The following is a 12,003-nucleotide window of genomic DNA, read 5'->3' on the forward strand; positions in this document are numbered from 1 at the left end:
TTCAACTATGTTTCTGAATATAAATCTGTACATATTTGTTTGTTACAGGGAGAGACTATAGTAAGTCTAGGATAATAAGACAAAAGTTGGCCGGGCACAGTGGCTCACGCCTGTAATCCCAACACTTTGGGAGGCTGAGGCGGGAGGATCACCTGAGGTCAGGAGTTTGGGACCAGCCTGGCCAACATGGTGAAACCCCGTCTCTACTAAAAATACAAAAATTAGCCGGGTGTAGTGGCACATGCCTGTAATCCCAGCTACTCGGGAGGCTGGGGCAGGAGAATTGCTTGAGCCTGGGAGGCAGAGGTTGCGGTGAGCTGAGATCACGCCACTGCACTCCAGCCTGGGCAAGAAGAGCAAAACTCCACCTCAAAAAAACCCAAAACAACAATAACAATAATAATAATAAATAAATAAGACCAAAGCCATATGAAGGCATCATGTATCTAATATGCATGATTCAGCAGTTGGTATCTAGTCAGTATGACAGACACTGTGAGTAATGGCCACAAAATATAACATATGGATCTGCAAGAAACCTTCTAAAAGTATATAATTCATTTTGTTCCATTTATGCCCAGAGGAGAAATCTGCCAATAGATAAATTCTTGGGAAAAGGACTTGCCCAGATGCCAAATACATCCATGCAGAATCATAAAGGAGAAGAGCTAATTCACAGGGTGTCAGACATTTGTGGCAAAGAGGCCTGAAAACCAAGAGAGAAAAATAACGGCCCGCTTCATTAGCATTCTATGTTCTCAGAACTAGGTAGCATCAATTTGAAATGCATGTACTCACTTCACACTGATAGGATATACCAATTCTACCTTCTCAGATACCCTTTCTAATCACAGTCCCTGGGACTGTAGTCTAGAGTGAAATGTAATCTCCAAGTGAAAAATAAAAAATGATGGAATAAGTAATTTCCTCACTCAAGTGAAATCTGGTTTTATGATGCTCTTGCTCAAGAGACATCTGTTAGCACATCTGGATTTAATTGTTCAGATATGCACTTTGTTCCAAGAAAATGCTTCTGGTGTAACTGCCCCTGACAAAAAAAAAAAAAAAAAGTCTACTTTATTACAACAGCTTTGAGGTTCACAGTTTAACTGGCTGGAGCCAGACCATGTTGTTGGTAACTATGGCCCCTCTCCTATTTGACTTGTACAGTAACAGCAGCATTAGCTCTCTAACATTAGGGGCTGTTTTGTTCTGTTTTTAAAAGAAAGTTTGGTATAACTTAGTGCCTGTATTAGCTGTTAGGATTACAGTCTACTTAGACTTTTATAATGATTTGTTTTCAGCTTTATGTGTTCCACTGAAGAGAAGGGAACTAAAATGCTTTGGAATAGGGAGCTATTTGTGTATTTTCTGCACATGGTATATTAGATTTTCCTATCTCCTCACTGTATTACCAGAGTTCATATTGACTGAAAGAAAATATATCAACTGAATTTAGTGTGTTTATAGATTCAATATGGCCATTTTCAAATGAACTGTGTTGAAAATGACAGTGTCCATCAATCCTTTGGCCAGTAGTTTTTTGTATATGTATAAAAACACCTATTCTGTTTCTAAACTTTAACCTTGAAATACTAATACCAAGAACCTGAGGGTCATTTAAACTGAAAACTAAAGTTAAACCTTCAGGACTTCTGAAATATTAAAGTGTCATTACAAAAGCTACATTTAAAAAGAGGTTAACAAATTGTGCTTTATGATCCACTGTCTTACCCTTTCTCAAGAAAGAAATCTGAGTATTGTTATACCACAGGTTTTATACTAGCAAGAGAGCATTTTAAACAAAGGGGGAAAATGACAACAGGACAATAATAATTTATTTTTAGCTCTATGTAATGTACCAAACTCTCTACTAGATCTTCTAACTGTCTTTAACTGGCAGGAAATCTGTGATAATTTATAGTATAGTGATTAATTAATAGAGGTGAGGATTTAACAAAGAATCTTTTAAACTTATTTTCACCACATTTTAAAGACATATATTATATCTATGGCCAAATTTCTTTCTACTTACCCTTGCTGGGAAAGTTTCATTTCCTTTAACTCAATACATAAAATCTGCACCTTTGTCTGTCAGAGAAATATGCTCAGATGTGTTCTGTTTCATGGCTTGATACACCACAATAAATTGTTAATGATACATTACTGCATCAAAAAAACAGGCAAATGCAATACTTTCTTCTTTGTACATTCCAAAAAGACCCAGGAAATTTCAAAATACTCTCTCTTTAACCCTTCAGCATCAAAGATGCCACCAGTAAACACGTATGAAGCACCTGCACTACACATACAGCCCCATGCTGGATGGCGTTGGGTGTTCACTTTCATTCACAACTGACTATGCTTTACAGTCACTTCATGGTATGCAAATATTTTTACAACAAATGTGCTGTAATTTTTTACCACCTTTTTTCAAGAATGAATTACTCAAATGCATAGATATCCAAATTGATTATTGTCAGCTGACATGACACAGAAATGGCACAAAGGATCAAGAAGACTAGCTTACGTGAAAAAAGAAAATATTGAATAAAAAAATCAGCTGTCTTAATTTGGTATGAAATTGCTTTAAAATCCTGGGAACTGTGAATATTAAACTATACCAGTATTGTACATTTTACAGGTTATATTTTCTCTCTGGCTTCTGGTGTCTTAAGCTTTATGTTGGTGATTTATGATTTATATTGTCAGTCAAAGCTCTTAATAAAAATACAGCTTTATGTTATGCAGCTGGGAATAGAATTTCTTCCTTTCTCTCTCCGTAGAGTCCCACATACATATTGAATATATTCTAGTGGTAATTATAAAATACGAGGTTATAGGGCTATCACTGATTGTCATCATATGCCACTCAAACTTCTTCCTGATGGTACAATGAAGTGACTGAAAATACCTCTCTGCTGGTGCCGTCACATATCTCAGAGTGTGCTGCGCTACAACACAGAAGGCTTTCATTCTCCTCGGGATGTAGAGATACTTCCAAAGATTTTCTTTCTTTTTTTTGAGACTTCCTCAGCCCCCTGAGTAGCTGGGATCACAGGCACCTGCCACCATGTCCAGCTAATTTTTGTATTTGTAGTAGAGATGAGGTTTCACCATGTTGGCCAGGCTGGTCTCGAACTCCTGACCTCAAGTGATCCACCCACCTTGGCCTCCCAAAGTGCTGGGATTATAGGCATGAGCTACCTCACCTAGCCCATGTGTAAATTTTTTTACTAATGGGTACATGATCCAAAAAAGTTGTGAGACCCCTGGCATAAAGTTCTCTAGCAATTTCAGGAGCAGTTATCCAATATAAACCCCAGAGAGCATTCTGAAGAAACAATAACAGCTAATGTTCAAGATACTGAAATCTTCATGAACAACAAAAATGAACATTAATAGGTGAAATCAAGACAAAAAGCATGGGAAATCAAAGATCAACCAGACATGGATGCCTAGACAATACCCCCAAATTCAGGACATTACACAACTCTAAGGAACATGCACAGTATCACCTACATTGTCACCACTGCTTAAACTGATACATGGCTCCACTCTCATTACAAAGAGGTAGATGGTGATGCTTTAGTCACTTCTTTAATACAATCGTAAGCAATTTAAAGAACTGTACTTTTTTGCAAAAATTATATCCACTCTACATTTTGGTGTTATAGAACAACAGTGACAGTCAACATCTTTACTTAGCAAAATTCCTTTTGGAAATTGCACTGGTCTGTGAAATCCAAAAGTCTGGGAACTCCTGCTTTAGTACATACCTTCCACTCTAGAAAAGACCTTAGGTCTCCCTAATTTACTCTATCATTCCTGCTTTTATATGCTTATACTTATTGTCTCCGTAATCCTGGAATATCAAAGCTTCAAATCTTACCCATTTTTAAAGACTTCACGTCTTACTCATTCATTCAGTCAGTTTACTCAAATATTTACTGAATATCTAAGTGGAAGGCATCAGGCTGAGGGGAACAGAATTTGGGTGAGGAATGTGTGCCAAGATGATTAGCTCATGAACCTTACTCTCAAAGGTTTTACATACTATCCTTTTTATCAAGTCTTAAGTTACAAATTTGGTTAACAATTTCCTAATCACATCATCTGTTAATAGAATGATGAAGGGCCACACTATTTTAAATCAGAGCTGCTCTGGAAAATCTAGCACATATAGGTCACAGTACCCATTACATGATACACAGTCTCTTGGAGAAGGCTTTTTGGATGAGTCACAGCTTTAAATAGGAAAGAAGGCAATAATGAAGGTCATACCTGAAGTCAGATCAGTGAAGCAGAGCTTCCTATCTTCTTACATCTAAGAACTAATGTCAACAAATCTTCTGATTATTTTACCAAGAAAGAAAATGCTGTAATGATTAATTCTCTTTTAACTAATCTTTTTGATACCTCAAACACCAGAGTGGTTGTTTCTGAATAAAAACTTGCTTGTTTTTCTTTTTTTTTTTTTTTTATAGCCATTCTCTCTCTAATCCTTACCCTGCTGAATTTAATTGCCTTGGCAATGCCAAAACAATGTCTGATCCTAATAGGTCAGCATTGATCACTCTAAACCAATTGGTTCCTTCATTAGCAAGAAAATGAAGTAAAGCGAAAAGGCAGGTGGCTCCCGAACAGGCAGCTGGGTTTTTGCTCCTCTTACAGCGCCTCTCTCTCATTAAACAGTAGCTGATCGATCGGCAACTTGCTCAAAATCCACAAGAACTATTCATCACTTGTGACACAGACCTGTTTTAACAGGCCACACAACTCAAGATTTGGATACCCCAGGCAGTCTATTTGTGGGGCCCATCACATTCTTCCCAGACAGATGTCTCTTTGGATCACATGGAGGAAAAAATGTGGACACATCATGCAATAGACCACTTTCTGGCAAGACACCAAACAAAGTCCAGAATGGCAAATCCCAGCTCTGAGTTTCTGGAGCAAAGTCTTCCAAGAGGAGAGTCCTCCTCCCAGAGTCTAGATTCTATGGCACAGACCAGCAAGAGGAAGCAAGGAGGGTTAAAAATATCAATCATCATCAGACAGAAAGAGAGAAAAACGGAGTCAAAGAAGAAAAGGGAATGCTTTAAAAAAAGAAAAAAAAAATCACAGGAAAAACAGACTGCGTTACCTTGGTTAGTTGGGAAATGATCCAAGAAAGAGAATGGACTAGGAGTTTTGTCAGATGGCTTAGGGAACTGCCTCTCTGCTAGAATGAGTGAGTCCCTCATTCCTGGGGCAACAATCACACGACCAGAGACACAGCAACTCCTTTTTAAGCTGGGGAATACAGCCTAAGAAAAGGGGGTGCTACCCAATCTTGACTAAGCGTCTACTATACCAAAGACCTTGTTAGGCAGTTTACATAAGCTATCCCACTGAACCTGATGACAGTCTTATGAAGGAGCTAATTTTATCCTCATTTGCCATACTAAAAAGAAAAAGTTTCAGAGATATAAAGTAACCTGTCCAACAACACGTAGCAAGAAAGAAATGGCAGTCAGAATCTGAATGTAGTTCTGATTAATTCCAAAGACCGTGCCCTTTTAATGAACCTCTAAGAGGGAAACTGAAAACAAAACAAAACACCAAAAAATATAGAGTTAATTTATAAAGCACAAAAATAAAGAAAAATATAACATAAGGCAATGATTTTTAAAATTTTATTTATTTTGCTCATCCTTAAGACAATGATTTTTTTTTTTTTTTTTGAGATGGAGTCTTGTTCTATCGCTCAGGCTAGAGTGCAGTGGCATGATCTTGGCTTACTGCAACCTCCACCTCTCAGGTTCAAACAATTCTCCTGCCTCAGGCTCCTGAGTAGCTGGGATTACAGGCGCGTGCCACCATGCACAGCTAATTTTTGTATTTTTTAGTAGAGACAGGGTTTCGCCATGTTGGCTAGGCTGGTCTTGAACTCCTAACCTCAGGTGATCCGTCCACCTCAGGTGATCCGTCCGCCTTAGCCTCCCAAAGTGCTGGGATTACAGGCGTGAGCCACTATGACCAGCCAAGACAATGATTTTTAATGGGAATAAAAAGAATAAGAGGAACATGTAGCCATATTTAAGGCTATTGCTTTCATTCTGGAGGTTCTTGCAAATTGACTCTGGGTTCTGCATATTCTGAGGGGAGGAGGCAGGGCCAACATTGTCGACAAGTCTCCCTTTTGCTTGCTGCCTTTCCACAAAGCTAGCAGAGCCAGAAGAGAACTGGCCATAGAAACAACTGAAACCACAATAGTAGGTCAATTTTCTCTTAAATTTCAAATCCAGAAACAGAAAGAACTTATTCAACTTCTATGCCAGTAAGTAATTCCTTGGTCTAATAAAAAAAAAAAAATCTACGAAAAACTTCTCACTTCCTATACTAGCCACAACACAGTTACTCAATAAAAAGCACTTAGCAATATGTTGAATTTATTCACCAATCATTCACAAAACACCTTTCATGGTCAAGGTACTTGCTAAAGCCTGAATGAACACTGCTAGGGCTGTTATACCCTCTCATTACAAATACAAATTATCTGAAATTGTATTACAATGTTGACTTACAGGGGAATGTCTGCAATATTTGACAATAAAAATAACCAAAAGGTGAATTTTTGACATAATCAGATTTATCACTTATGACAGACAGATGGAGATGTGGAGCATCTCAAAATCTTCATTCTATTAAGAAGAACTGGGAGAAAGAGAAGAAAGGAGAAAGGGATATTTAATAGGGGCCTATTATCTGTTTGGGCACTATGTAATATCCTGGGGATACAAAAACGAAAAGATGAGGGCACAGTTCTCTAGGAGTTCAGAGTCTAGTAGAAAAGACAAGATGTTTGGTCATTCATCCATCCATCCACTCACCCATCTATACCTTCCTTCATTTTTCCAACCAGCAACTATTTACTGAGAACCTATGATGTGTTGTCAAGTACTATGCTGGGTACTGAGGATATAACAATAAACCAGAAGGATGTAGTCCTTGCCCTCATGAACTTAAGAGTCTAGTGGGGAAGTCAGGCCAGGAAACAGGCAACTATAATAAAATGTAGTAAGTACTACGAAAGGAGAAAGACAGGGCATTCTAATGGCATAGAATAAGTAGGCAATTGGTGCTGATGGTGGTGATAGGGTGGGGGCTGTCCTGGTAAAAAGAATGCTTCTCACAGAAAGACATATCTGGATTGGAACTTGAGGGATAAAAAGAAGTTAGAAAGACAAGCAAGGAGAAGAGAAACAGAAGGGAGAAGTTTTTTGTGGCAAGAAAGAACAATATGTAGCAATATCCAGAGACAAGTCAGGGCATGCCAGAGGGGCTAAAAAGAAATTTTACAGATGCATCATACAGTGGTAGCCAGCCTCCAAAATGGCACCCAATGGTTGTGTTCTGTTATTCATATCTTTATGTCGTTCCTTCTCATACTAATATCCTATTGGTTACAAAGGTCAGTCCCAAAATGACAATGTCTGACTTTCAAGTCTAGGGGGGAAAAAAAAAAACATGGCAGCTGCTGCTTTGCTTTCTCTTAGATCACTTTCTCTGGAGGATGGCAGCCACCATGCTGTAGGGACACTCAAGCAGCCCTCTATATAGGAAAATGTGGAAAATCTGCCAACGGCCAGTGTCAACTTTCCAACCATGCAAATGGGCCACCTTGAAAAATGAATCTCTCAATCCTATTCATAACTTCAGATGACTATAGCCTTGGCTGACATCTTGACTTTAATCCTATAAGAGACTGTGTTGTAGGTATGAGCTGACAGATGATATAACCAAAAAAGAGAGGGGAAAAAAAAAAGAAAAAAGAGACTGTGATGATCTGAATATTTATTTCCCACCCCCAAAGTTCATATGTTGAAATTCTAACCCCAATGGACAGAATTAGGAGGTGGGGGCTTTGGGGAGGTGATTAGGTCATGAGTGAGGAGCCCTCATGAATGAGATTAGTTCCCTTATAAAAGAGGCCAGAGAGCCAGGTGTGGTGGTTCACACCCATAATCCTAATACTTTGGGAGGTTGAGGTGGGAGGATTACTTGAGCCCCAAAGTTAGAGACCAGCCTGAACAACATAGTGGGACCCTGCCTCTACAAAAAAAAAATTTTTTTAATTAACAGGGCATGTTGGTTTGCACCTATAGTCCCAGCTACTCAGGAGGCTGAGGTGGGAGGATTGCTTAAACTTGGGAGGTTAAAGGCTGCAATGAGCCATGATCATACCAGCTTGTCTCAAAAAAAGAAAAAAAGGCCAGAGAAAGCTTTTTTGTCCCTTCTGTCATGTGAGGCCACTGCTAGAAAGCGCCACCTATAAATGAGTAAATGGCCCTCACCAGATGCCAAAATTGTTGGCACCTTGATCTTGGACTTCTCAGCCTCCAGAACTGTGAGAAATAAATTTCTGCTGTTTATAAGCTACCCAGTTAATAGTATTTGTTAGTAACATAAGACAGCGACCTCAAGCCAGAACCACTCAGCTAAACTACTCTCAAATTCCTAATCCCTAGAAACTGTGAGATAATAAATGTTTACTGTTTTTTTTTTTTTGTCTTTTTGAGACAGAGTCTCGGTCTGTCGCCCAGGCTGGAGTGCAGCGGTGTGATCTCGGCTCACTGCAACCTCTGCCTCCCGGGTTCAAGCAATTCTCCTGCCTCAGCCTCTCGAGTAGCTGGGATTACAGGCATGTGCCATCAAGCCCAGCTAACTTTTTGTATTTTTAGTAGAGATGGGGTTTCACCATGTTAGCCAGGATGGTCTCGATCTCCTGACCTCGTGATTCGCCCGCCTCGGCCTCCCAAAGTGTTGGGATTATAAGCATGAGCCACCGCACCTGGCCTTGTTTTAAGTCACTATGTTTGGGGTGATCTGTTACACAGCAATATATAACTAATACACACAGCATTTAAGATGAGAGGAAGGTGACTGAGGTAAGAAGTTAAAAAGACAGGGCCAGATCAAGTAAAAATTTTAATGAAATGATATTAGCCTTTATCATGAAAACAATGGAAGTCACTGGAGGTTTTAAAAGAGGGAAATGACAGTCAGAGCTACATTTAGCAAGAATATCTGGCTACATTGTTCTTGTTTGGGAACTGAACAGAAGAAAGATAAAACCAAAACTAAAAAGCTTAGTTAGTGTACTGAATGTGAACCTACTATGTCTCTAAGATTCCCTCAGCCTCCACCAACTTTCTCTTTAACATATACTGAGTCACCCTTCTACCTGTGAACTTGGATAAAATGTCATACTGCTTTCTGAACAGTTGCCAAGCGGTTGGAGGAAGTCAATGGGAAACAAAAAATTAGGGCGAAGCCGTGTCTGAACAACCTGCTGTGTGTCTTGCCATGACCAGCAAGGTAAGGTGCTATATCATACTTTTCCCTCCTTGATTTTCCTTTATCCTTTACCCTTGCCACTTTGGGCTGGAAGTTACTAAAAAAATGTCAGCACTTTAATTCTTCCTTCAGGCTCTACATCCTACAGCTGTTAATGCCTACTGCAGTAGTCACTGCCCACAGTTACCTATTTAGAGGTAGAAATGTGGTTAATCTAAATTAAGATGAGCTGTAAGTGTAAAATACACACTGGATTTTGAAGACTAGTATTTAAAAGAAAATTTTAAACACGCCGCTTTTTATGTTGATTACATGTTGAATTGATACTTTGAATATATTGTTTAAATAAAATACATTATTAATTTCACTTGATTCTTTTTTTCTTTTTCTTTTTTTTTTTTTTTTTTTTTTGAGACAAGGTCTCACTCTGTCGTCCAGCCTGGAGTGTAGTGGCGCAATCTCGGCTCACTGCAACCTCTGCCTCCTGGGTTCAAGTGATTCTCAGGCCTCAGCTTCCCAAGTAGCAGGGATTACAGGTGTGCACCACCCCACCTGGCTAATTTTTGTATTTTTAGTAGAGACGGGGTTTGGCCATGTTGGCCAGGCTGGTCTTGAACTCCTGGCTTCAAGTGATTTGTCTGCCTTGGCCTCCCAAAGTGCTGGGATTACAGGTGTGAGCCACTGCACCGTCTCACTTGCTTCTTTTTATCTTTTTTAACGTAGCTACTAGAAAATTTAAAATAACATAATATTTCTATTGGACAGCACTGTTCCAGAGGACCTAGAATAAGACAGTACACAAGTTAAGCAAGAAAAGGGCAATTAGTTATTGCAATGGAGATGTAGAAAAGAAGACTGGAAAAGAATTTAAGGACAAACCATTGCCAGATAGAAATGACTGGCTGTGGAAGAGGGGAGGAATGAAAGATGACGCCCAGCTTTGTGGATGGGGCAACTCATTGAGATGAGAACTTCAAAAGAAGAACATGTTGGAAGGTAGGATTAATTACCTTGAGGCATTCTGTTGTGAATTTCAGGTGCCTGTGCATCACTCTAGTGAAGCTATGCAGTGGCCATACTTCAGCGTGCTATTTGCAAGCACAGGAGAGAGAACTAGGCAGGAGATGAAGACGTGTTATTAACAGATGCCATGTGAGCCCATGAAATTGCTAAGAAAGAGTGTGCAGAGTGAGAAAAGTGGAAGACACAAACAAACACATTAAGAATATCATTCTAGATTGTGATAGGTGTTATACAGAAAATAAAGCAGAATCACAAGACAGTGATAGATAGGGCTGAGGGGTTAGTTAAGTTTGGGGATAAATGAGATGGGAGTAAGGAAGTATACTGGACAAACAAAGCATTCTTGTGGAGGAAACGTCAAGTGCAAATGCAGAGAGTTATAAATAGCCTGACAGGTTTACCGAAGGAGCAGGAGTGCGGTACTATTGGAATATATAATAGAGTAGAAGGAATGGAGCAGGAGAAACTGCATGGGCACAGAGTGGGCAGATCATGAAAGGCTCTGCATTTTAAGCTGTGGATCTTGGACTTTATGCCATAGGTGAAGAGGAGCCCTGAGAAGTTTTAGTAGAGGAGTGACATGACTTCGTTCGATTTTTACAACTTTCATCAAGATACATGTTCCTAACTACAAGGAGCCCCACCTACTTGGTTCTGACATATCACTGGGTTCTATGAAGCACAATTTTAAAAACACTATATTAAATGACTTCTCTAGGCCTTTAAACCTAAACAGTCTATGGTTAAAAGATCAGTGAGAGAAATATAAAATTGTACTTGTGCCAGGTTCACAAGTCTCTCTTTCTTCTCTGTCCCAATCCTCCCCTCATTCACACTCAGATAACTGTGTGCATGGCAAGCCTGAATGTTAGGAATATAAGGCCATACCAAGGAATCAATGTCACATATTCAGACAAAATACATGGGAAGGAGGAAGTAAATACCCTCTTGAGGGCTGTCATTGAACCATCCAAACTAAAAAGAAACAATACAAGTCACAGCCTGATTATTCTGCAGTGGCCTCATCCAGGCCCTTTCGCCATCCTCTGTCTACCTGCTCACTGGCTATTAATGATTTCATTGCCCACTCACCCTCCCTTCATAGGCACACAGGTCCAGAAAAGAAGGAAACCCCCAAAGAAGTTAGCTATGACAACAAAGGAGAAGAAAATTAGCTAATGGCTGAAATAGAGTTTAACATTATCTGTTTATTTCAACTTTACTTCATCAAAGCACTTACCATTTTTTCCTAATTTATTCTTATACCCATTTAAACATATAATTATTTAATTTAATTTAATTTGTGGCCAGAAGAAGTGACTTGTGGAGATATACACTCCCTGCCCTCAGTTCAGAGCCTTTTGCCATCACACTACTTTCATTCCATCATGGGTTTTCTAAGATGAAATGTTTCATAACACTAAGAGAGAGAAACATTTGTTTTTAGTAGGAAAAGGTTTGTTTTTAAAATAAATGGTGTTCAGGAATAGCTTTCACCAGTGTTCACAGTCCTTATGATATAATAGCAGGTCCTATGGTGAGAAAAATTTGCAAACACTTTGTAAAAACACTGAGAAATGACTGTGTCTCAACAGCCAAATGGGTTTCTGAACAAAAACTAAATTAAATCCATTATAA

General features: G+C 39.1%; 1 protein-coding gene across 8 annotated transcripts in view, besides 1 other annotated feature; it reads right to left on the reverse strand.

Annotated features, from left to right (window-relative positions):
• Positions 1–12,003, reverse strand: part of BTBD9 (BTB domain containing 9) — a 471,479-nt gene that overhangs the window by 218,716 nt on the left and 240,760 nt on the right. The gene's annotated exons all lie outside the window — the stretch shown is intronic.
• Positions 3,748–5,142: an enhancer, noted in NCBI's record as "VISTA enhancer hs1366". NCBI's record gives its function as "enhancer in: midbrain (mesencephalon)[6/7]" and the evidence as "EXISTENCE:transgenic organism evidence [ECO:0001131][PMID:17130149]".

The sequence above is a fragment of the Homo sapiens genome, chromosome 6 (genome assembly GCF_000001405.40).
Source record: "Homo sapiens chromosome 6, GRCh38.p14 Primary Assembly".
Lineage (NCBI taxonomy): Eukaryota > Metazoa > Chordata > Mammalia > Primates > Hominidae > Homo > Homo sapiens.